Genomic DNA, 23,933 nt, shown 5'->3' on the forward strand with positions numbered 1-23,933 from the left:
AGAAGGTTCACAAGCCAGAGTCACAGATGTCACCCCCTGGAGAATCACCATGGGGTCAACATCCCCACCCCTGAGGGTGTGCAGGCTGCCTGTGCCCTTCCCCTCACTGCACCAGGTGCCTCTGGGCAGAGAAACCCAGCCCATGACTCATGTGCACCCCACCTGAGGTGGCATTGCACCAGCGACAGGAGCCCATATGCTCAAGTCACAGATCACAGAGCCACAGGTCTGAGGGTTGGAAGGGCCTTTCAGGGGCCCTGCGTGCTTTTCTGGCTCAGCGTCTTATGGAGAAAAACCCTCGTGTGGGTCCCACTGGTTTCCCAGGGACACTGGAGAAAGTCCCAGACGAGCCTGCCCCACTGACGGTGTCTCTTCCTAATGAGGGGTCCCGAGGTCCTGTGCCCTCAGAGCCTGGGCTTGCCTCCTGACCCTCCAGCTGCAACCCCATCCACGTCCGCCCCATCCTCTCCCAAGGCGGGACAGGCGGGGCAGGTGCGGGGAGGGGTGGTGGCGTCTATGGAGGAAAAGCCTACCCCCTTGGCGTGTGGGGGTGGCCTGGGGCTGCTCCTGAGTGTCCGCCTCCGTCCCGCCCCCTGCCACCCTTCTTCACTGGTGAGCTCCATTGCCCCCGCTCCCCGGGGCACATGGGCTTCTCCCCGCTCTTTCCCAGGAGCAAGGCCTTGCTCCTGTCTGAGCCTGCAGCTCTACTGCAAGGAGATGTGGCCTGGCCCTGCTCCTCTTCGTGGAAGGACCCCGCCCAGCCGGTGTCCTGGGGCTGCCACCATCCCTTCCCTCATGCATGAATCACCTGAGCCCAGCTCAGGGTTGGTGGCGCCCAAGGGAGTGGACGCAGGTGGAGGAGAGGCCCTCACCTGTCTTCACCGCATGGCGTGTGGAAGGCGGGGCCGGCATGTTCTGAGGGCGGGGGCTGAGGCGTGCACCTGTGTGTGGAGGTGACGGGTGTCCTCCTCGCTCAGGTTGTTTAAGTTGAAGGAGCGCTACCGCAACGTGCTGGACACCATGTTCGAGCTGCTGCCCCGGATGGCCAGGTACTGCCAGCCCCCACCCTGGCCTGCAGGTCCAGGTGCCGTGTGGCAGTGCCCCGTGGGGGCGGGAGCCGAGTGGCAGTCGGGGGAAAGGAGTTCCACAAAGGACTGCAATCGAGGGCCTGACGGGGCTCCAAGGAGCCTGGAATCTTGACCACCACAGGTCTCCTGGGCACCATTTTTCTCCACTGACCTGTCTGACATATTTAGTAGGGAGGGCAGGGAGCTGTCAACTCGCTTACCACCTGTGTCTACATTCACAGGTAAGGGGTCACCTGTGAGTCTACCTTCACAGGTAAGGGGTGAATCTCTGGGAAAGGGGCATTTGTTCATAGCGTCCTGACTTGAGCTGTTTTTCACCCCAGAGCTGCCCCACGAGGCCCCTTCCCCGCAGGCACTTTCCAGTTGGTGAACCGACCAGGGGCATGGCCCTGCAGTCAGCCCCACGGGTCCGAGGAGGCCGGGGCTGCAGAGGAGCCGTTCCCTCCTGCCGGCCCCGCGTCACCCTGCCCCTGTCGCCCCACAGCCTGGGCCTCACCCTGCTCATCTTTTACTACTCCTTCGCCATCGTGGGCATGGAGTTCTTCTGCGGGATCGTCTTCCCCAACTGCTGCAAGTGAGTAGGCCCCACCCAGCCCCAGGCAGCCTGCATTTCCCGGGCAGAGGGCTGGCCAGGGCCAGGATTGGTGTCCTTGTGGCCTTGGGGTCCTCGGGGATGTTCCTGTCTAAGCAACCACCTTGCTTTGCTTTCAGGGCTTAGTTGAGTGCAGTGAGCTAAATGAGGGGCCTGGACTCGGGGTCCCTGTTTCTCCATCCCCCAGGCAGGGTTGGGAGCTGTCAGCTCACCCTCTGCCGAGGGCTGGAGGCCACCCCCACAGTAGCCTGGGTCCCAAGGTCAAGTCCCATGGCTTCCTCCCACTTCTCTCCTGGAGTGGCTGGGGACCTGGGCCAAGACCAGTCTTCTAGGGACAGCATCGTAGGATAAGACAGACGGACACGTGCAGGAAGGTCATGGTGCTCAGGGATGGGGAGCAGAGAGTGAAATCTCCCATGAGCACTCCCTTTCTCCTGAGCCGCCACAGTGAAATCACTGCACACTGCCATTCATTCATCCTCAATTCAGAGAGTCCTCTTACATTTGGTCTTTACAGCCTCAAGCACCGATGAAGAAACAGTTTTACAAAGACACTGGTAGCTTTGAGACCCAGTTTGAGTGTCAAGCTTGGTCTGGAACCAGAAGCCTATAGCAGTGGGTCCCAGACTTTAGAGCCCATTGCAGTCACCAGGGAGCTTAGTGCAAGCTCCAGACCTCACTCTTGTGTCTGATGCATGCGTGTGGGAGGAGGCTCCCTGGTGGCCCAAGCACTAGACTTTTATAAACATTAGCATGGATATTAACAGAACAGCCATAAAAGATTGGAAGGAAAGTGGCAAATAAGAGCTCCTCAAAACAGGGCCAACCTTTTCAAATACTTGCTCAGGCCAAGTATTGGGGAAGCCCCAGTAGGGAATTCCTTCCCTGGGACTGTGGCCTAGTGTCCAGCCTCAAGAGCAGATCCTAGATGGGGCAGGTGCAGAGGAGGCCCTTGCCTCTCCTCCCTCCCCTGCAAGCAACGGTGAGAGAGAAGGCCCTGCCTGCAGCAGACAACTTCCAGGTGACAGAGGTGGGTCAGGCTGGCCAGGGGATCCCGCCAAGCCCAGCAGGCAGGAATAGCCAAGGGCATTCCTTCAGCAGGGACCCAGGCATGAGGTGGAGAGGGTTAGGCAGGAAACCAGGCTGCGGGCAGAACAGAAGGATCCTTGGCCAGAACTCGGTTTGTTTCAGACTTCTGTCCTCTCTGGAGGTGACTGATCGCCTTGTGACCCTCCCTCCTTTCTCCCTTGTGCTCCGGCCAGCACGAGTACAGTGGCAGATGCCTACCGCTGGCGCAACCACACCGTGGGCAACAGGACCGTGGTGGAGGAAGGCTACTATTATCTCAATAATTTTGACAACATCCTCAACAGCTTTGGTGAGTGGGAAAAATCACAGGGGGCACATTCCCTGGGGACCCCACCCTTGTCACCCTTGTCACCACGGGTCCCAGAGGTGGTGTAGCAAGTGTCTGGGCCACACTTTCTGGAAGCCTCCCTGGCCCAGGTGGAGGACTTGGTCTGCCCAGCTTTGGCAGTACAGTCCAGGCTGGATCCTGGAGCTCACTCAGTTGCCTGATTCCACTCTTTCCTGATATTTTCTCAGTACCGGGGAGGACAAGAGTTGCAAGCCTTAGCTGGGCGGGGTCCCCTCATCACAGTGCCACTTGCAGAATGGGACCCAGCCACACCACTGCTGCTGCAGCTGCACTGCCCCCTGGCTCAGACTGCACACAGCCCTCTGCCCACTCCCATGAAGAGGCGAACACAGCCAAACCGCCTCTCCAGAAAAAGGGTGTGCCCCCATGACACCCCAGATCTGCACCCAGTAAGATCCAGATAGTCTGATGTGGCACAGGCTGCTGAGGCAGAGGGTGTGTTCTCTTGGGGGCAGGCCATGATGTCCTGTGGAGCCAGCGCCCTAGGAGTGCCTTGCCTGGTCTTTCCTGGAGCTCACAACCCAAGCGGTCATATGGTGACCCTCTCATCTTAGCACATGGCACCCAGGATAGGTGGCAAGAGGCCACTTGAAATTGACTTTGAAGTGGGGTCTCATCAGGATGCTTCTTTCTCTCTTCCCTCGGCAGTGACCCTGTTTGAGCTCACAGTTGTCAACAACTGGTACATCATCATGGTAAGAGCTCGGGCAGCTCTGGGGGTATCTTCCCGCCAGCCCTGGGGTCGGCCCTGGGTCTCCCCCAACCCAGAGTATATAATTCTTCCCGTAGCTTGCAGGGCTGGGGGTCTTGAGTCATGCTGTGTTGGTGTTCAGTGGGGAGGCCACAGGATGGCTGGGCCCCAGGAGCCACCCCTCCCAGTGTTGGCTGGACTCGGCTGTTACTCCCATCTCCCTGCATGTCCCCAGCAGCCAGGAGATGCCACTTAGACTCTGGGTCTCTGTCCTGTCTCGCCCACTGTAGAGATGACTTTTCCCTCTAGTGACAAAGTGGCGAGCATTGCTGATCTCTTTATTCCATTCCTTAAACTTTCCCGACTCCCAGCCCTACTGGGATAAAGGCTGCCCTGGTTCTGGATCCAGTCGTCCAGGGGAGTGGCCAGGGCTCCTTCAGCAGTCAGGAATTAGTGTTAGGCCCAGAGGGGCAAGCTTCCTCTCCTCCATCTCTCACAACCAGCCACAAATCACGGTGGGGTCTGCGAAGAGCCGGGGCCATGGAGCAGCCTGTGTAGACGGGGACCTGCCCTGCATGGGCACCCCCTCACTGGCTGCTTCCCTTGGTCTCCAGGAAGGCGTCACCTCTCAGACCTCCCACTGGAGCCGCCTCTACTTCATGACCTTTTACATTGTGACCATGGTAGGTCCCGGACCACAGAACGCTCTTTGTCCTTCGTCTTCCACATCACCAGCTGCCCCTGCTCTTCAGCCTGCAGCGTCAGGGAGTGGGGCTGGGTCCCATCTGGCCGGACTCTGTTGGGCGTGGGCTGCGCAGCCACGGACACCTACCCACCCTCCTCCCCTGCCTCTGCCCCTCCCTCCCTATCCCTGGCCAGGTGGTGATGACGATCATTGTCGCCTTTATCCTCGAGGCCTTCGTCTTCCGAATGAACTACAGCCGCAAGAACCAGGACTCGGAAGGTCTGTGCAGGGATGATGCCTTGGGCATTTGATATCTGCCGCCTACCCAGCTCTGTCTGTCTGTCTGGGTGGCTGTCCAGCCAGCCATCAGGCTGTCATTTTTCTGCTGTCTGGCTGTCCAGCTTATCTATCTGGCTTGTCTTTCTAGATCTTGTATTTGCATTGATTTTCAAATATTTAATGTCAGAAAACGTAATCTAACTTTAAAATAAGACAGAGCATGTCATAGTTGGAGAAAAATCAAGAAGTAGAGAAAGGCTTATGTGGCAGCAGCAGCCCCTGCCCTGCCTTTCCCTCCCGTCCTCCAGAGGCTTCTCCTTCTTGGCTATTTCTTCTGTTAGTCATCTCCACGTTTCTCAATAATAGGTTCACACTACGGTTCTTGATTTAAATGGTGTAAATATTGCTTATGGCACAGGCGAATCGTATTCCTGCTGCAACTGGATGGTGCTGGCTTTAGTGACTGCCTCACTCTTCCCAGATTGCACAGCTTTCTGTGTGCTGACCCTCCCTTCTTCCCAAATTCTCCATCAAAACTGTCTGCACTTGATCTCTTGAGCCCAGGAGGTCAAGACTGCAGTGAGCCATGATCACACCACTGCACTCCAGCCTGGGCAGCGGAGTGAGACCCTGTCTCTTAAAAGAAACAGAAAACCCTGTGCCCACACTTGTTACCTCTCATCCTCAGATCTCTGTGCTATCAGACCATCTGACCATTTTCTCTGTGCTTAGAGGCCCCTTCCTGAAACCCTCTGGCCCTGTAACAGCTGCCAGCTAGACCTGCGCTCCTGACATCACAGCAGAGGGAGGGGAAGGGAAAGGAGGGCCAACGAGGAGAGCAGGACACCAATGCAGTGTCGGTTTAGAGAGAGAACCTTAAGACCCCCTGCGGAAGGGGGCAAGGAGGTACGAGACCCAGCCAGGTTGGCAGCTGCAGCCCCGGGCCCTTCCCACACCTGCCTTCCATCCCTGCAGTTGATGGTGGCATCACCCTTGAGAAGGAAATCTCCAAAGAAGAGCTGGTTGCCGTCCTGGAGCTCTACCGGGAGGCACGGGGGGCCTCCTCGGATGTCACCAGGCTGCTGGAGACCCTCTCCCAGATGGAGAGATACCAGGTGAGGAGCCCAGGCCCTGGTCCGAAGGAGGGAGGCAGGTTTCAGTGTGGGTGGCATAATCCCTTCCCTCAGATATTGGTAACATTTTGAGTGACACAGTTGCAAAAGCCAGAGAAGTGGGAGACGCCAACTGTGGCACCAGGGGTGGGACCTGAATATCTGCAGCCGAGCCCTGCAGCCTCTGCTCTTCCTTAGCAACATTCCATGGTGTTTCTGGGACGGCGATCAAGGACCAAGAGCGACCTGAGCCTGAAGATGTACCAGGAGGAGATCCAGGTAGGAGCCTGGCCGACCACGCTGCGAATCCTCCCCCAAGCTATGTCCTGGGAGGGGCAGGGAGCTGCTCTCTGGCCCTCTGAGTAGAGGGAGAAGGCTGGTAGAGAGATGCAGACCGTCCATCGGGACCACTGCTGGGGTTGTGTGGGACCTGAGCGGGGCTCACTTAGCCTTGAACCCTTGACTCGTGCCCAGCAGAGGCAGCTCTCCAGCCTGCCTGCCGCCATATGTCCCTGCCCCTTATGAATTCTCCAGAACCTCCTCTCCATCTCTTACTCTGAGTCAGCTGCAAACTCAAACATGTGTACTAAGAAACACAGTGAGCAAAGAGGAAAGAGCGGCGACCGTGGTGAACTGGCAAGGATGTCCCTGTCCAAAGGAGACAGTCTCCTCCCAGCTCCAGGATGTGCCTGTCCAAAGGGGACACAGCCTCCTCCCAGCCCCAGCGAGTGCTGCCCAATAGGAAGAAGGCCCTACTGCGGTCGGGCTGCTTGGTGTTTTGTTTTGAGATGGAGTCTCGCTCTGTCTCCCAGGCTGGAGTGCAGCAGCACGATCTAGGCTCACTGCAACCTCCGCCTCCTGGGTTCAAGCGATTCTCCTGCCTCAGCCTCCCGAGTAGCTGGGATTACAGGCACACGCCACCACACCTGGCTAATTTTTGTATATTTAGTGGAGACGGGGTTTCACCATGTTGGCCAGGCTGGGAGTGCTTGGGATTTTTCATAATTGGGTGTTTTTTGTTTTGTTTTGTTTTAGAGATGGTATCGCTCTGTCACCTGGGCTGGAGTCCAGTGGCGTGATCATAGCTCACTGTAGCCTCCAACCCCTGGGCTCAAGTGATCCTCCCCACTCAGCCTACCCAAGCAGCTGGAACTACAGGTGTGCACTGTGACACCCTAATTACCTTATTTTTGTAGCAGTGAGGTCTTGCTGGGGTCTCAAACTCCTGGTCTCAAGCAATTCTTCCACCTTGGCTTCTAATTTAAGAAAAGGCAGGCCAGGCATGGTGGCTCATGCCTGTAATCCCAGCACTTTGGGAGGCCAAGGCAGGCGGATCACTTGATGCCAGGAGCTCGAGACCAGCCTGGCCAACATGGTGAAACCCTGTCTCTACTAAAATTACAAAATTTAGCCAGGCCTGGTTCCGTGCACCTGTAATCCCAGCTACTGAAGAGGCTGAGTCAGGAGAATTACTTGACTCCAGGAGGCAGAGGTTGCAGTGAGCCAAGATCATGCCACTGCACTCCAGCTTGGGTGACAGAGCTAGACTCTGTCTCAAAAAAAAAAAAAAAAGGCAGAATCAGATGTTTTTCTTTTTTTGCATGACCTCCCAATCTTTACATATTGGCAGCTAAGGAAAATATCTCACAAAGCACCGTGTGGGCTGGCATTTGGCACGGTGCCTTCCAGACCATGGGCCACCAGCCCATGAGCCCTGCAGAGTCTTCTCAACCACCTCAGGGTTGCCAGGGCTCCGGGGAGCCTCTCCCACACCAGCTATGGTGGCTTTGCTCTGTTTTCTGGCATTCTAATAGCTTGAAGCCCTTCTGTTTCACTAAAACAGTGACAACCAGGGTCCATGCCTGAAAAGCGGGGGGTGCTGTCCCCAAAGCAGCTTACACATTCTCCGGGAACACAAGAGACTCAGGCAGTGTTCTTTGGGCTGATGTGTAGTGGCTCACTGAACTTGGTGTCACAGAAACATGGAAATAATAGAAGCGTTTGACCTTGGGCAGTCACTCCATGCCTCCCTGTCTGTGCAAGGGGATGACTGTGCAGCAGCACCCATTCAGGTGTGGTTGGAAGGAGGTGTGCTGCCCTTGGCCTCTGCCCTTCTGCCTGTCCATCTGCTCCAGGCCTCAGTTTCCCCCTCTGTAAAACAAGGGGGCCAGAACTAGGCCATCTCGAAGCTCTAAAAGTCTATGGTTCAGTCTTTTAAAAAGTAGGGTAGGGTATGGTGGTGCACACCTGTATTTCCAGCTGCTTGGGAGGCTGAGGCGGGAGGATCATTTGAGCCCAGGAGTGGGAGGCTGCAGTGAGCCGTACCTCGCCACTGCTCTCCAGCCTGTGCCACACAGTGAATCTCTGTCTCCTAAAAAAAAAAAAAAAAAAAAGGAAATGTGGGGTATACTTAATTCCTTAATTACCTGAATACCTCAGTCCCTGAAAATGTCAGAGTTTATAATCATGGCCTTAGGCAGGTGAGGTATTCAGCACAATACAGCTCTAAGCCTCGGTGTCTCGGGTGTGAAACAGGGACACAATTCCTGCCAAGCTCAAAAGGGGTCACTCGGGGGGCCCTTTAGTGAAGGACAAAAGGTTATGCTCACAAACAAGGGGTGAGGGTTGTTCCTGCCTGGGCCTGTTAGAGAGCTGTTATGCGCAAACCTCCAGACACTAGGGAAAGATTTCATTGTCATTTTTGCCTCTGGGGCCACATTCAAAATTCCCAGCATTTCTGGGCCTGTGACGGGGGTTTCAGTACCAGCTGGGTGAGGCTGGCAGCCCTGCCCCTTCCAGCCTGGATGCTGTGGGCTGTGTGACCTTGTGGGGTGGGCGGGGCAGGGGGTGGGGTGCAGCCCTCAGCACCCCTTCTGCTCTCTTCTCCAGGAGTGGTATGAGGAGCATGCCAGGGAGCAAGAGCAGCAGCGACAACTCAGCAGCAGTGCAGCCCCCGCCGCCCAGCAGCCCCCAGGCAGCCGCCAGCGCTCCCAGACCGTTACCTAGCCCAGCGCCCGAAAGCCGTCTCTTCTATGCAATAACACAATAGTATTACTCTACTGCGATGTACGGAACTGCGGTGTGTGTACACATACTCACGTATATGCACATATTTATATACAGGAAGAAAAAAGACAGACAAGATGGGGCTTGGTTTATAACCACCTTGCCCTGTCTTCCTTAACTCCAGAAGCCAGTTTGGTGAGGGGTGGGGGTGCGGCCACCAGGTCTGAGCTCTTCCTACTGTGGAAGGCTCCAGAAGGCCCTTCACAAGGAGACCCCTCACCTGGATCCAGTCGACTGCGGGGCTTGCCCCTCATGTGGGCTGGCCTCCATCGGCCACGTCCAAAGCTGTCACTGCTACTGCTTCAGGCTCACATCCCCCCGACCTGATGGCGTGCCCGCCCCCTCTCCCTGCGGCCCATGCCACAGGTTTCTGTGTTTTGCTTTAGGGACAGAACCACTTAGGAAGGAAAGAACTCCCGGTCTCCAGGGTGGTATTTCAGTGTCTGTGATAATGTCACGCAACACCTCTTCGGGGACCAGTGCCCAGGATCTAATGGAAGCGGAATTGGGGCAACTGGGCCCATGTGGCCAGAGCTCAGTTAGCCAGTGCCGGGCGGCCACAGATTACACTGACCAATCTCCTCCCTTGGCTCTGCAAGCCTCCCACCCAGCCTTCTCTGGCTTAACCCTTGTTGGCGAAAACTCTTCCACAGTGGCCTCCTTGGGGACCCAGAACCCGGAGGAAGGGGCATGAGGCAGGAAGTGGGGCCGATGTCTGCAACCCAGACCACTTCGTGGAATGGGCTCTTGACCAAATCCCTTTTTTTGCGATTTACCCGTTCAAGCAAAACAACGTTTTGGTTAACTAAGGATTGTGCTAAAGCCGATACCAGGTCCTTCACACGTGTGCACTAGGAACAGGAGCGAACAGCACAGAGAGACGCTCCCTGTGGGACGCAGCAGCCCCGTGGCCCCGGCCCAGTTCCCAGCCACCCTCCCTGGCTCTGCTCACACCAGAGATTTCCATAGCAGGAGCGGTTGGTGCAGAAGTAGGTTCAGATGAACCTCAGTTAACGTCGCCACCCCTCCTCCCACCATGGTACCCTGTAGGAGCCCTGTATGACATCTGAGCGTGGTGGAGGTAGGAGGGTTGCCAGCTGCAGTGACCCTGCCACAGAGGCAGGGTCAGTGCAGAGGTCGCTTTGGTTCCGCTTCCCTGGGCCACAGAACGGAACACAGCATAGGTTCTGCAGCAGGAGCCGCAGTGGCAGGATGGAGGGTGCGAAGGGCAAGGAGTGCACTGCTGGGCATTCCTGGCCAGCCCCGGCCCTCTGGTGCCTGCTTCCTGTGACTTCAGAAGGCAGGTGGACAGAGCCTCCCTCTGGCCTTGTCCTCTTCCCAGCCACAGAACGGGCAGGGTGGCACCCGACCCCAGGGGAGCAGTACCTGGTCCCCCACCCCCTCCTCCCAACCACCTCCAAGGCCAAGCTGGGTCCCATAGCCAGCACGGCATGGTTCTCCCCTTCCCCCCTTCCCAGGTCAGGGGAGTTGGACAAGTAGCAGGTGTTTGTTTTTAAAGCACAGCCCTTTGGGAAAGCAACACATTATTGAGACTCACTGTGATTCCCCCGGGAGTCAGACTGGCTTTGTCCTCTTCCTCTCTGGAGGGCCATGGGCCATCAGCAGGAGCTCCACATCGAGCCCCAGGCCAGAACCCCCTCCCTTTCACAGAGAGGGAACTTTATTGCACAATTGGGTGCCTTTTAGCTTTTGTGTGTTGAAATGGGCGTTTTGGAAGCAAGGGTCAGGGGACAGCTTCTAAAGGTGTGAGTCTCTGACCTGAGCATCTGGGCCTCGCCTGGGCCCTTCTTCCTCCCCAGGGGTGGAAACGTGGAGGGGCCAGCAGCACCCCGGGGTCTGCCCAGGGGAGTCAAGGCCCCGAGGTGGGGGGGCCTATTCCAGGAGGAGTGGGATCTCGGCCCTGTCCAGAGCGAGTTAATGTGTCCATCTGCCCAACCCTGTCCTGAGAAAGGACCTGGTTTTGGCCAGGACCTGACAAATACCCAATGGCAGCAGTGTCAACAGACGGGAGTCCAGCCAGGGTGGGTGCCCTTGTCATTGAGGTTAGGGACAGCTATCCCCAGGTTATGCCTGGCCCCACCCAGCAGGGAGTTGGGGTCCCCCCACAGGCTGTGAGCTCTGTGGGCCCTGGGATGTGATCTAGCTCAGATGCCCTCTCATCCTTGATGTCATAGTTGAGTGCACCCAAGTGGCACCCACTGGCGGCCAGGGGCACAGCCTGGTGGTGGTGGCAATAGAACTGTGCCCCTCCTCAGCTCCTCGCTTCCCCTCCCACAGCCCCAGCCTTACTCCACCATGCGGACAATCATTTTGTACGGATCACGGGAGCAATGCTGTACGGTTTTGTACACTGGTGGTTTGTTTCCTAGAAAACCCATTGTGTCTCTGGATTTCTAGCACATTACTAAAAGAGCCTCTGCTTTGTAAACATGGCTGCTGCCTCTTGACTTCTGTGGCTTTGGGTATTGTCGGGAGAGTGGCCCCATCCAAGGCCATGGCCATTCCTGATCCTGCCTCAGCCCCACCCCGAGCTGTGCCCTGGGGTCAGCCACTTGGCACTGGCCCCAGGTGAGGAAGAACTGGTAAAAGTTGGGGGTGTCATTTTCTCTACACTTGAAATTTTGACTTTTTTTTTATTTGGAAAAGAGACAGTTGAATCCCTTTTCTTTACCAGCATAAGGCAGTCAGGCAAACCTAAGAGTTGCTTATTTCGGCAACATAAGGCGGGGTCATTGCATGACAGCAAGAAGGCACGAGGTCCCCTCATCTGTCCTTTCCCAGCTCGCAGGCCTTGGAACCCCGCCCAGGGCCCCGCTGAGGGAGGCACAGGCACAGTCCTACCGACTCCTGCCTGGCAGCTGGAGGAGCCCAGGTTCCAGCACAAAGGAGTCTGTGGACAGGCAGGGGCAGAATCCTGGAGGGAGCGCCTGAGCCACCATCCCATGTGGCAGCTGCTGGCGTAGCAGTGCCTCGGGCTGGCATCGTTTTGGAAGCAAGTGGGTTCAGTGAAGTGTGTTGCCACGAATAGCACCCGCTGCTTTTGGCTTTATTAACGTGGCAAGGAGAAATTCAAAATTAAGTATGTCTCGAATTCTGTTTGTGGCAGATGGTGCGGCTCTGGAGCTCAGCCCTCGGCGGCCTGATTCCCAGGGGTCCAAGCCACCCTCATTCTCTGAGTCAGGGTTGGGCAGCCACTTGTGTCCTGAGAAGGTGCCAGAAGGCCTGAAGCCCAGGCAAGGGGAACGGGCAGTGCCTGTGCCTCGGGGGTACCTCCAGCATGGCCTGGAGCACATCCAGCCATCCCCTTCCCCCAAACTCCAGCCCTTCTCAGAGGGGCTCTGGGGGTCATTCAAGGGGGACTTCTAGCTTCTCTCTGGAACCCTTTGTCCAGAGCAAAGCCAGGTTTCCAAGGTCCCCACGGCAAGGCTGTTGGGTGCTGGCAGCAAGAGGTACACAGCAGTTCTCCCAGCTCACAGCAGTGACCTCAGATCTCCAGCAGCAAGGGCCGCACTCTCGTGCCCACAAGGGCCTTGCAGAAATGCTCCGGTCCCTGGGCCTCCCCCGGCAGGAGGGGCGGGGCTCCTGCCTGCAGTGAGGCCACAGCACTAAGCGGCTTCAGTCACATGCTTTTCAGGTGAATCACTCCAAATTCAGTGAGGAGGGCCACGACAAGGAAGTTCAGGTAGAAGAGGAGCAGGCAGAAGCCATAGACTCTGCTGAGCTGGAAGCACTGCAATGGGACTGAGACCAGGGAGAAGACGAGGCTGAGCCCCAGGGCGCCTGCCAGGACCCACACCAGCAGTCCGTCTGGCTCCAGCTGTGGAAGAATGAGGGGAGAGAGGCTGAGTCACTGCCCGTCACAGGCCCCGCCCCGTCTGTGGCCAACACAACAATGCAGCCTCAACAACAATGCAGCCTCAACAACAATGCAGCCTCAGCAACAATGCAGCCTCAGCAACAATGCAGCCTCAACAACAATCCAGCCTCAACAACAATGCACCCTCAACAACAATGCACCCTCAACAACAATGCAATCTCAGCCGAGCACAGTGGCTCATGCCTGTAATTCCAGCACTTTGGGAGGCTGAGGCAGGTGGATCACCTGAGGTCAGGAGTTCGACCTGTATTGGCCAGGAGTTCGAGACCACTGGCCAATACAGTGAAACCCTGTATCTACTAAAAATACAAAAATTAGCCAGACATGGCAGTGTGCTACTGGGGAGGCTGAGGCAGGAGAATCACTTGAACTCAGGAGGCGGAGGTTGCAGTAAGCCGACATCGTGCTACTGCACTCCAGCTTGGGTGATGGAGTAAGACTCTGTCTCAAAAAATAAATAAAATAACAACAACAACAACAACAACAATGCAGCCTCAACAGTGTTTGAGGGCACCAGCTGGGGGCCACTTAAGGAAGACTGGCCTGCAGCAGCCCGGCCTGCCCTGTGGGATGGCATGCCCCACCCTGAAGTTACCCAGACGTGGCCCCAGAAGTTTCCAGACGCAGAAACAGCAGGGAAAAGGAACCTTCTCTTCCAACTTCAGCCAGGTCCACCTGCCTGGGTGCCTCTCCCCTGCCTCGAGTCAGATGTCATTATAATTCCCTCTGTTTTTAATGCTGAACTCTAGTCAACGACATGCACAAGCGGATGTTCACCACTTACTGTGAAATGCATCAAGAAACAATATGGATGCGTTAGGCCGGGCAGGGTGGCTCAGGCCTGTAATCCCAACACTTTGGGAGGCCAAAGCGGGCAGATCACTTGAAGTTAGGAGTTCGAGACCAGCCTGACCAACATGGTGAAACCCCGTCTCTATTAAAAATACCAAAATTAGCCAGGTGTGGTAGCACATGCCTGTAATCCCAGCTACTCGGGAGGCTGAGGCAGGAGAATCACTTGAACCTGGGAGGTGGAGGCTGCAGCGAGCCAAGATTGCACCACTGCACTCCAGCCTGGGTGACAGAGCAAAACTCCATCTCAAAAAACAAAAGAAGAAAAAAGAAAAGAATAGATGGAGGCATGGACAGACAGGCATGGACAAACAGACAACAAAGCAAAGGCAGCCAAACATAAACAGTAGAGTCTGGGTGGTGGGAATATGTGTGTCTATCATACAAGTCTTTTAACTGTTCTATGTTTGAGTTTTCATAATAAAATGGAAAAAATCTTTATAAGGCTTTTTTTTTTTTTTTTTTTTGACATGGAGTCTCACTCTTGTTGCCCAGGCTGGAGTGCAATGGCGTGATCTCAGCTCACAGCAACCTCTACCTCCCAAGTTCAAGTGATTCTCCTGCCTCAGCCTCCCGAGTAGCTGGGATTACAGGTGTCTGCCACCACGCCTGGCTAATTTTTTTGTATTTTTAGTAGAGATGGAGTTTCACCATGTTGGCCAGACTGTTCTCGAACTCCTGACCTCAAGTGATCTGCCCACCATGGCCTCCCAAAGTGCTGGGATTACATGTGTGAACCACCGCACCCAGCCCATAAGGTTTTTGAAGAAATGGCAGCTATAAGTATCTACTGAGTGCCTGCTCTATGCCAGGCATTGTGCGAAGGGCCTAACAGGCACTGTCGTCTTTGATCTAACAATAGTCTTGTATGGTGGGTACTAGGATGGACTCCATTTTACAGATGAGGAAACCAAGACCCTTAGACTTGACTGACTTGTCCAAGGTGCTCAGCAGCACTGGGCCTGGCACCTCTGCCTGACTCTGAACTTGGGAGGATGCCGCCTTCTGGGTGAAGGAGGGGATGGATGAATGATAAAGGAGTGGCAGCAGCAGAAATGAATGAGCGAGAGCCAAAGTGTCAGGCACAAGACAGGCTCCTCTGCGGGAGGAGGAGCTGACAGCAACTCCCGTTCTCTAGAACTGGGGAGGAGCCTGCAGATTTCAGCTGCAGGTTTTTATATGTGTAGTAGGATAAGTAGTGCCCCACCCCCAACAAATTCACGCCCATCCGGAAGCTCAGCATGTGGCCTTACCTGAAATAGGGTCTTTGCAAATATAATAAGCTAAGGGTTTCAAGATACAATCATCTTGGACTTAGGGTGGCCCCTAAATCCAATGACTCATGTCTCCGTAAGAAGAAGAGAGAGATGGCCATGGGAACACAGAGGCAGAGACTGCAGAGATGGGCCCACTGGGCAAGGAACGTCAGGAGCCAACAGCAGCTGGAAGAGGTGAGGAAGGATCCTCCTCTGGAGCTTGGAGGTGGCACTGCCCGGCTGATGCCCTGATTGCAGGCTTTTGGCTTCCAGAACTGGGAGAGACTCAATTTCTGCTGTTGTCAGCCCCCTGGTTTGTGGTCAGTTATGGCAGCACTAGGGAACTAACACTATCTATGGTATACATGTCACACATGGTTGCTGACATATTTTCAAGCAGTACAGAAGAGTAAAAGGGACTGAAATGTCCCCTCCCCGCTTCTCTTCCTTCCACACTTAGCAGGTATATCCAACACGCAGTGAAGACATGAGGTACCGTGTGGGCTGTTTCTAGGCACCGTGGCGTTTCGTCTTCCCAGCCACCTGCATCCTCCTCGTCTCCAACCCACAGATGAAGAAACTGACAGAGTAAGTGACAGAGCCCAAATCCAAGTGCAAGCTCTTAACCAATGCCTATCCTCCTCCCCATGGGATGCCATATTACACACGCCTGTGGACACACACACCTCTAGACATGTACATCAATTCTGAAAACAGAGATGGGACCGTACAATAGGTAAGTGTTTCAAAGCGACTTGTGGTTTTCAACCAACGGTACACCATGGACATCCTTCCATGTTGATGTCTCATGCCATTTAACGGCAGGAGCGTTTCCTAAACTCAGCACAAAGGTGGTAGACACACGCGCACACACACACACACATTTCCTAAACTCAGCACAAAGGTGGTAGACACACACACACACACGTACACACACACACACACTTCCTAAACTCAGCACAAAGGCGGTGGACACACACACACACACACACACACACACGCGCGCGCACAGGAGAAAAGAGGAAATAGGTCCCCTGAGGAGCCAACCCTAAAGCCTCATTACCTGGAACTACCCTAGAATCTATCATGAAAGGGAACCTATTAAACCCATAAAGAGGGACAACAAAGTTTGCAGAGGGTGTTTACCTTTCAGAAAAGAAAATTTCAAGCCCTAAGTAGCTGTTTGCTTGTGGGCATGGCCAGTGTGAAAGAAACACCCTGCCCCCGGCTAACAGGCTCTGCCGAGAGCCTATTCAACAACTCGTGCCTCTGGGAGAAACGGGTGACTTTATTCAGCTTCATAACACTCAAAGAGCTTTCCCATGGCGAGGCTTAAAACCAACCCCCAGGCCATCTCTTCCTCCCCAGCCTACGTCTTCCTTGCTGAGTCTCTGGACTCAAGTCCTCCAGAATAGAGATGCAGGGATGGGACTGCCAGCGGCTCAGGGGTCCAATCTGCCTCATATGCACAGGGTTTTGTTTGCATGTGAGGCAGATTTTCGAATAGAAAAAAATTCACTTAGGAATCTTGATTTCTTCTCTAGAGGACCTGGAATATCTGGCCACATGCTACCTACCCAAATCACCCACACATCTCTGTCACCTCCCCTGTGGGCAGTGCTGGGATATGGTGCTCAGTCTGGCCCTTCCGCTGCGTGCTTATCCAGGAAGCTCAGCTGGTGTCATCAATCTCATTTTATAGGGGAGGAAATTGAGGCCCAGAGATGTCCTAACTCCATTTTTTCCCTTTTTTTCTGAGATGAAGTCTCACTCTGTCGCCCAGGCTGGAGTGCAGTGGCGCAATCTTGGCTCACTGTGACCTCCACCTCTTGGGTTCAAGTGATTCCCCTGCCTCAGCCTCCCAAGTAGCTGAGATTACAGGTGTGCACCACCACACCTGACTAATTTTTGTATTTTTAGTAGAGATGGGGTTTCACCACGTTGGCCAGGCTGGTCTCGAACTCCTGACCTCAAGTGATCCTCTGCCTCAGTCTCCCAAAGTGCTGGGATTACAGGCATGAGCTACCACACCCGGCCAAGATGTCCTAGCTCACTCAAAGTCATACAGCCAGGGACTTAAGTGATGGGACCCAGATCCAAAGCCAGGGCCTTCCTGCCCCTTCCCCATCAAGCTACATCTTGGTTATATACACTTGTAAACTTACAAGGAATACTCACCTTCACTTCTGTGTGGCTTCGGGAGATCTGGAGCAGGCAGCCCAGCCCCACACCCACGAGGATGTCTGCAGCCCAGCTCAGGAAGCTTTGCTGGAATGGCCTGCACATAACCCAACCACATAGCCCGTTCCTCCTACTGTGTTCATCCCCAGGGCTTGGGATGCCACTGCAAGAATGAACTTGGGCCAGGCGCAGTGGCTCATGCCTGTAATCCCAGCACTTTGGGAGGCCAAGGCAGGAGGATCACTAGAGGCCAGGAGTTTGAGACCAGCCTTGGCAACAGAGTGAGACCCGTCTCAAAAAAAAAATTTGGTGGGGGTTGGAGGTAGAGAAGTGCAGTGGTGTGAACACGGCTCACTGCAGCCTCGACCTCCTAGGCTTTGTGATTCTCCCACCTCAACCTCCCAAGTAGCTGGGATCACAGGCATATGCCACCACACCTGGCTAATTTTTTAATTTTTCTGTAGAGACAGGGTCTTGCTGTGTTGCCCAGGCAAATCTCAAATCACTGGACTCAAGTGATTCTCGTGCCTCAGGCTCCCAAAGTGCTGAGATTACAGGTATGAACCACTGTGCCCAGACTTACAAAAAAAAATGAATTTACTTGGCTTTCTTTATGATGTATGCCCAACTCCCCCAAACACCATATCTGAGGAGACCCTATCTTTTTAGGCCTTTAAGAAGATGGGTGCTGAGTAAGTGTTGCAGTCAGTCTCTAAGGATCGAACACCTTAGGGTGCCAGGAATGCTTGGCGCATGTAAGCACTCAGTAGGTGGGGAAACCGAGGCCAGGAGAGATGAAGGGACTGCCCCCAGTCCCTAGAGGGAACTGGTGATAGTGTGTGGGCCGAGGCCATCTCTAGGGGTCGTTCAGGGCTCCCTCCTTCCCAGCCAACCTGGGAGGTCAGGCGAGGCTGCAGCCCGAAAGCCAGGAGTAGGCCTCAGTGGGCGCAAAAGGGCCACCAAGGGCCTTGCTCAGCCTGGGAGTTAAAAGGGCAGGCATCACTGTCTCCGCAGTTAGCCTGTTTTGCCGGCCAACTGCTCACACTGCAGCCCCTGGTGAGGCTCTGTCATCGTGGAGCCTGGAGAGAGCGGCCCTTCAGGCACTTTGTGATCATCTTTCTTTCTTTAGCAGCCAACAGTATCCACTGCTGGCCGAATGCCTGCCGTGCGCCAGGCACTGTCTGGAACCCACAACCATCTGGTTTCAAAGCTCTTTCTCTTCATAGCCCCAGGCTGGCTATATCCGTCTTTTCTATATAGACCAAAAGTTGGCAAACATCAGCCCTCCGGCCAAATTTGGCCCACTAACTGCTTTTATAAATAAAGTTTTATTGGAACAGAGCCATGGCCATTCACTTATGCACTGTCTGTGCCTGTTTCTGCACTATAGCAGCAGAGTTGAGTAGCTGCAAAACCGCCTGCATGGCCCCCAAAGTCTAAAATATTTATTCTTTGGGCCAGGTGTGGTGGCTCACGCCTGTAATCCCAGCACTTGGAGGCTGAGGCTGGCAGATCACTTGAGGTCAGGAGTTTGAGAACAGCCTGGCCAACATAGTGAAACCCTGTCTCTACTAAAAATACAAAAATTAGCTGGGCGTGGTCGTGGGCGCCTGTAGTCCCAGCTACTCAGAAGACTGAGGCAGGAGAATTGCTTGAACCCGGAAGGCAGAAATTGCAGTGAGCCAAGATCACGCCACCGCACTCCAGCCTGGGCAACCGAGCCAGACTCCGTCCCCACCCTGCAAAAAAAAAAAAAAAAAAAAAAAAAAAAGAATTCTCTGGCCCTTTTAGAAAAAGTCTGCCAACCCTAACATAGACCATGACATGTCGCTATGAGCAAGAGAGAGAGGGTCTTCCATAGGACACATAAGCTCATCCTATGGGCACCTGCTTATCACACCACTCACTGTCCTAACAATAATAGCTGCTGTCTGCTGAGCCCTTACCAGGGGCCAAGAATTTCATTCACCTCACTGGATCCTTACAACACCACTTGGAGGTTAGCACTCCCCAAATCCCTATTTTAAAGCCTTGGAGCCTGAGGCTCAGGCAGCCACATTACCTGCCCCAGGTGTTACACCGAGAACCAATCCCCAGGGTGGGGCATGGAGCACACCCCACCCACGGCTGTGACACCAGTGCTAAGGCCAAGAACAGACCACAAAGGATACTGAAGATGATGCCGCCAAAGCAGGCGGAGAACGCCATCCGTGGGTAGCCCTGGCGAGCCAGTGTGAAATCCGAGAAGGCATCTGCACAGGAACAAGAGGGGCCTGCAGTGGTGAGTCGCTTCCCCCACCCTCCCTGGTCATCCACGCCTTCATTCTCACCCACGGTCATTCAGGCAACAAACACAGATGGATGCCCAAGTGTGCCTGGGCACTAGCTGGTGGGGTGCTGTGTGAGGGGGCACAGCATCTGGGAAGACACACTTCCCTCCTTAATTCCTTTACCCCACTCTTTCACACCAGGAACAACTTTGCAGGTGTGAAAAACGCGGCTACCAGCTGGGCACAGTGGCTCACACCTGTAATCCCAGCACTTTGGGAGGCCAAGATAGATGGATCACCTGAGGTCAGGAGTTCGAGACCAGCCTGGCCAACATGATGAAACCTTGTCTCTATTAAAAATACAAAAATTAGCTGGGCATGGTAGTGGGCGCCTGTAATCCCAGCTACTCGGGAGGCTGAGGCAGGAGAACTGCTTAAACCTGGGAGGCAGAGGTTGCAGTGAGCCAAGATCACACCATTGCACTCCAGCCTGGGCGACAGAGCAAGCCTCCATCTCAAAAAAAAAAAAAAAAAAAAAAAAAAAAAAAAAAAAAAAAACTACGGCTACCAATTTTTCAAAGTCTCATCTGCTGGTAACATGCACAGCACCTCCACATGAATAAGAAGAAGGTGCTCAAAAAGGTAAGTGGAAGGAGGGGCTAGATTTCAGCTCCCTCATCCTCTTGTCTGGATGCTCTGGAGCAGTGCATAACCTGGCCAACCACACCTGGCTGCTACAGCTAGGGAAGGGTGTATGTATGTAAGTGTGAATGCCTGCATGTCACACACCCGTGTACACATCAAGCACGGCCGGCTGCAATGGGCTCCATGTCCTGCCTGAACTCTGGGAGCCACCGACCATCCCCGCATCAGAGGGTGGGGAAGAGGCAGGGGCCTCTATAGAGTTTCTTGGTCCAACTGCAGTCAGGGCCATCTCACCCCAATGCTGGCCACTCCACAGTGACAGGGGACACTGCACAGGTGCAGAGGGCAGACACCCTGGACACTCCTGCCCAGATGCGACTCTGGCTGGGGGAGGAAAGAGCTAAGATGTGGCCGCACTCACCCCCACTCAACCCCACCCAGCCCTGAGTCACCTCCAATGCTGTTCCCCCAGGCCAGCAGCGTGAGCCCCAGCACAGTGTTGCTCAGCCGGAAGACCACACCCAGGGACCGCAAGATGTTCACCACCTCTGTGGCGGCCGCGTTGATCCACAGGGCGCTGGTCAGAAAGCCCAGGAAAGCAAAGAGCTGCGGAGGGAATGGTTTGCTGTGGGACCAAGGCCAGCCCCAACAGGAACACAGCCTCAGTTCCTCACCTGTGAAACGGGATGATAACAGTATCTACCTCATGAGCTTATTATGAGTATAAAACACGTTACTATATGCATTGGTGCCTGTGCAAAGTTAGTGCTCAATAAAACGTGAGTTCAATATTATTTTCTTTTTTCCTTAATAAACTCCCTTTCAGGCCGGGCACGGTGGCTCACCGCCTGTAATCGCAGCACTTTGGGAGGCCGAGGCGGGCAGATCACCTGAGGTCAGGAGTTCGAGACCAACTTGGCCAACATGGTGAAACCTTGTCTCTACTAAAAATACAAAAATTAGTCAGGCTGGTGTCACACACCTGTAATCCCAGCTACTCGAGAGGCTGAGGTGGGAGAATCGCTTGAACCCGGGAGGCAGAAGTTGCAGTGAGCCTAGATCATGCCAGTGTACTCTAGCCTGGGCGACTGAGTGAGACTCTGTCTCGAAAAAAGAAAAAAAATAAAAACAAAAAAACCTCCCTTTCATATACTAAAAAAAAATATTATTTTGTCTGGAAAGGGTTCCTTATCACTTTCATCAGATTTCCAGTCTATGAACCAAATACCACCCATCATCCCAATAAGTATCCCTGTACTCATTAGCGGTCACTCCCTAGCCCCACCCCACCAGCCCAACTCGACCACTACTCTGCTCTCTGTCTCTCTGAATGTGCCTCGTGGACATTTCACATCAATGGAATGCCACAGTGTGTGATCCTCTGCTACAGTCTTCTCTCACTCAGCATCATGTTTTCAAGGGTGATCCATGTTGTGGCACACGTCGGTACTTGAAAAAACAGTGAAAGACAATTTTCCCTAAGTAGTAAAAGGCAACTTCCCTAAATGATCCATTTGCTGAAAATTCAACACCCTTCGGTTGGTACATTCATTGAGTTTCCAAAAGTAAAAACTAAAATTTTAAAAAATCATTAAGCACTAAACAATGAAAATTTTAAGTAAACTTTTTTTTTAGGACGATGTCTCACTCTGTTGCCCAGGCTGGAATGCAGTGGCGCGATCTCAGCACACTGCAACCTCTGCCTCCTGGGTTCAAGCGATTCTCCTGCCTCAGCCACCCAAGGAGCTGGGATTACAGGTGCCCGCCACCATGCCTGGCTAATTTTTGTATTTTTTAGTAGAGACAGGGTTTCGACATGTTGGCCAGACTGGTCTCAAACTCCTGACCTCAGGTGATCCACCCGTCTCGGCCTCTCAAAGTGTTGGGATTACAGGCGTGAGCCACCACGCCCAGCCAAAATGAAAATATTAAGTAAACTTTTTTTTTTTTTTGAAACGGAGTCTCTGTCACCCAGGCTGAAGTGCCATGATGCGATCTCATCTCACTGCAACCTCTGCCTCCTGGGTTCAAGCAATTCTCCAGCCTCAGCCTCCCGAGTAGCTGAGATTACAGGTGCCCGCCACCACGCCCAGCTAATTTAAGTAAACTTTTAAGGAAAAAGTCTCTGGACAAACCCCTAAATATTCTTTAGAGTGCCTAGACTAGGGAAAATGGAAAAAGACACCCACAAAGGCCATCCCATTCTATCCCTGGAGTGTCTTTAGAAACCCAAGGCTGGGCACAGTGCCTCATGCCTGGAATCCTGGCACTTTGGGAAGCCGAGGCAGGAGGATTGCTTGAGGCCAGGAGTTTGAGAGTAGTCTGGGCAACATAGTGAGACCTCATCTTTACAAAAAACATACAAAAATTAGCTGGGCGTGGTGGCTTGCGCCTGTAGTCCCATCTACTTGGGGGGCTGAGGTGGGAGGATGGCTTCAGCCCAGGAGGTCGAGGCTGCAGTGAGCTATGACTGTACCACTGCACTCTAGCCTGGACAGCAGAGGGAGACCCTGTCTCAAAAAAAAGGAAATCACATATTGTAGGATTCTATTTATATAAAATGTCCATGATAGGCAAACCCATAGAGACGCGGAGTAGAGTCGTGGTTGCCAGGGGCTATGTGGGGGGTGGGGAAATGGGGAGTGACTTATGGGCATGAGGTCTCTTTTTGGGGTGATGAAATTCTCTAAAATTGATTGTGATGATTCCACAACTCTGTAACTATAATAAAAAACATTAAATTGTATACTTTAAATGGGTAAATTGTATGGTATGTGAATTACATCTCAACAAAATTAAGCTATTACCAAAAAAAAAAAGAAAAAAACCCTGTATAGATACAAACACTCTCAAAAGCAGCTTTAAAGTTCGGTTACCTGTCTTTGTGTGACTCCTGATCAAACTGGTCAAAGTGCCTCAGAGATGCAGACAGGACATCTGTGTGGGAGACATCAGCATCCCTCCCCCCCCATCTCGGAGAACCCGGGCTTCTTACCCAGTGAAGCCTGGGGGGCTGGCTGTCAGATGTGGCAAAAAAGGTCACTGAAGCCAAGGCTGTGCCTGCGATCACCACCACGACCCAGACGGGAACGAGGCCGCCTATCTCATAGACACCATCTGCAAAGGGAGAGAAAGGGAGCTGATACCTTCCCAGCACCTCAACACCCACTTACAATGGACTATTTGGATGTCAGGTAGACACTTCCTATCTGCCCAGCCCTGTCCTAGACACTTCATGGGGGCAGAAAAATTTAAAATGCAGCCCCTGCCCTCAAGTTAGTCACATTTGAAAGAAAAAGAGAGACACACAAAAAAGACTCTCTCCAGCCTGTTGCTGTGGAACTAGGATAGGAATGGCTATAACCACTAACACCACCACCCTCTTCCACCTTCATGGCAGACATCACTAATCAAGCACAATACTTCCATCCAACTGCATTTCCAGGCAGCTCCCTCCAGCCAGGCATTACCAGTAGATGGCATCGCTCCATGAGATGAACCTGACAGTCAAACCCAGCCTCTTCACTGAGAGGTACCCAAATAAGTCCACTCTCCATTAACAAATATGAAGGTTCCAGAGGCTTCATATTAAACACCAAAGGGAGACACCCTAAGGTGAGAACACTCTAGAATTCTCCACACATCACCCTTTTCACCACTAGGAGTTGGTACTGGTCTTAAAGACGATGAATAGTTCAAATGTTCATATACCTGCATCAAGACCCTTCTTTTGTTCTTTTTTTAGTCTAGCTCATGGCTCCCAAATGACAGGGGGCTTAAGAATTATGTGAGGAGGCCGGGTGTGGTGACTCATGCCTATAATGCCGGCACTTTGGGAGGCCACAGCGTGCAGATCGCTTGAGCCCAGGAGTTCGAAACC

At 53.7% G+C, this 23,933-nt stretch overlaps 2 protein-coding genes and 1 non-coding gene across 20 annotated transcripts in view, besides 6 other annotated features; 2 read left to right on the forward strand and 1 right to left on the reverse strand.

The window, feature by feature from the left end:
- TPCN1 (two pore segment channel 1) overlaps positions 1–11,400 on the forward strand; it is a 77,122-nt gene extending 65,722 nt beyond the window's left edge. For 13 of the 15 annotated variants that reach the window (NM_001143819.3, XM_017019480.3, NM_001351346.2 and 10 more), the window contains 9 exons: positions 978–1,049; positions 1,573–1,662; positions 2,943–3,058; positions 3,767–3,813; positions 4,424–4,492; positions 4,689–4,773; positions 5,749–5,888; positions 6,084–6,164; positions 8,775–11,400. In NM_001143819.3, the coding sequence (NP_001137291.1) occupies positions 978–1,049; positions 1,573–1,662; positions 2,943–3,058; positions 3,767–3,813; positions 4,424–4,492; positions 4,689–4,773; positions 5,749–5,888; positions 6,084–6,164; positions 8,775–8,891 (817 nt within the window). In that variant the 3' untranslated portion in view covers positions 8,892–11,400. Of the gene's footprint in view, positions 1–977; positions 1,342–1,411; positions 1,475–1,572; positions 1,663–2,942; positions 3,059–3,766; positions 3,814–4,423; positions 4,493–4,688; positions 4,774–5,748; positions 5,889–6,083; positions 6,165–8,774 lie in introns of those variants that run through there. The other 2 variants (XM_047429016.1, XR_001748766.3) reach the window with 2 other exon arrangements.
- Positions 535–702: an enhancer, noted in NCBI's record as "experimental_24616 CRE fragment used in MPRA reporter constructs". NCBI's record gives its function as "activates a minimal promoter by MPRAs in K562 erythroleukemia cells, with activity observed for both the introgressed and non-introgressed 12:113725608 variant alleles {active_cell/tissue: K562}" and the evidence as "EXISTENCE:reporter gene assay evidence [ECO:0000049][PMID:34662402]".
- Positions 4,338–4,423, forward strand: MIR6762 (microRNA 6762). Its single transcript, NR_106820.1, has one exon. It is a non-coding gene; the product is annotated as a microRNA 6762 (primary transcript).
- Positions 11,207–11,904: an enhancer, noted in NCBI's record as "H3K27ac-H3K4me1 hESC enhancer chr12:113736197-113736894 (GRCh37/hg19 assembly coordinates)". NCBI's record gives its function as "activates a minimal SCP1, AML or CMV promoter by ChIP-STARR-seq in naive H9 embryonic stem cells {active_cell/tissue: H9 hESC(naive)}" and the evidence as "EXISTENCE:reporter gene assay evidence [ECO:0000049][PMID:30033119]".
- The window catches only part of SLC8B1 (solute carrier family 8 member B1), a 36,339-nt gene continuing 23,991 nt past the window's right edge, over positions 11,586–23,933 (reverse strand). For all 4 annotated transcript variants that reach the window (NR_152403.2, NM_024959.4, NM_001330466.2 and 1 more), the window contains 5 exons: positions 23,049–23,170; positions 20,506–20,659; positions 19,310–19,390; positions 17,136–17,200; positions 11,586–12,789 (listed from right to left, as the gene is read on the reverse strand). Coding sequence is in view for 3 of the 4 variants with exons in the window: in NM_024959.4 (NP_079235.2) it covers positions 12,592–12,789; positions 17,136–17,200; positions 19,310–19,390; positions 20,506–20,659; positions 23,049–23,170 (620 nt within the window). In the remaining variant the exon portion in view is untranslated. The remainder of the gene's footprint in view (positions 12,790–17,135; positions 17,201–19,309; positions 19,391–20,505; positions 20,660–23,048; positions 23,171–23,933) is intronic.
- Positions 11,905–12,600: an enhancer, noted in NCBI's record as "H3K27ac-H3K4me1 hESC enhancer chr12:113736895-113737590 (GRCh37/hg19 assembly coordinates)". NCBI's record gives its function as "activates a minimal SCP1, AML or CMV promoter by ChIP-STARR-seq in naive H9 embryonic stem cells {active_cell/tissue: H9 hESC(naive)}" and the evidence as "EXISTENCE:reporter gene assay evidence [ECO:0000049][PMID:30033119]".
- Positions 12,639–12,933: a silencer, noted in NCBI's record as "tiled region #468; K562 Repressive non-DNase unmatched - State 5:Enh". NCBI's record gives its function as "represses a minimal TATA promoter and a strong SV40 promoter by Sharpr-MPRA in K562 cells {active_cell/tissue: K562}" and the evidence as "EXISTENCE:reporter gene assay evidence [ECO:0000049][PMID:27701403]".
- Positions 15,746–16,479: an enhancer, noted in NCBI's record as "NANOG hESC enhancer chr12:113740736-113741469 (GRCh37/hg19 assembly coordinates)". NCBI's record gives its function as "activates a minimal SCP1, AML or CMV promoter by ChIP-STARR-seq in naive H9 embryonic stem cells {active_cell/tissue: H9 hESC(naive)}" and the evidence as "EXISTENCE:reporter gene assay evidence [ECO:0000049][PMID:30033119]".
- Positions 19,914–21,113: an enhancer, noted in NCBI's record as "P300/CBP strongly-dependent group 1 enhancer chr12:113744904-113746103 (GRCh37/hg19 assembly coordinates)". NCBI's record gives its function as "activates an origin of replication core promoter dependent on BRD2, BRD4, P300/CBP, MED14 and CDK7 cofactors, with strong dependence on P300/CBP, by STARR-seq in HCT116 cells {active_cell/tissue: HCT116}" and the evidence as "EXISTENCE:reporter gene assay evidence [ECO:0000049][PMID:35650434]".

The sequence above is a fragment of the Homo sapiens genome, chromosome 12 (genome assembly GCF_000001405.40).
Source record: "Homo sapiens chromosome 12, GRCh38.p14 Primary Assembly".
In the NCBI taxonomy this organism is placed as follows: Eukaryota; Metazoa; Chordata; class Mammalia; order Primates; family Hominidae; genus Homo; species Homo sapiens.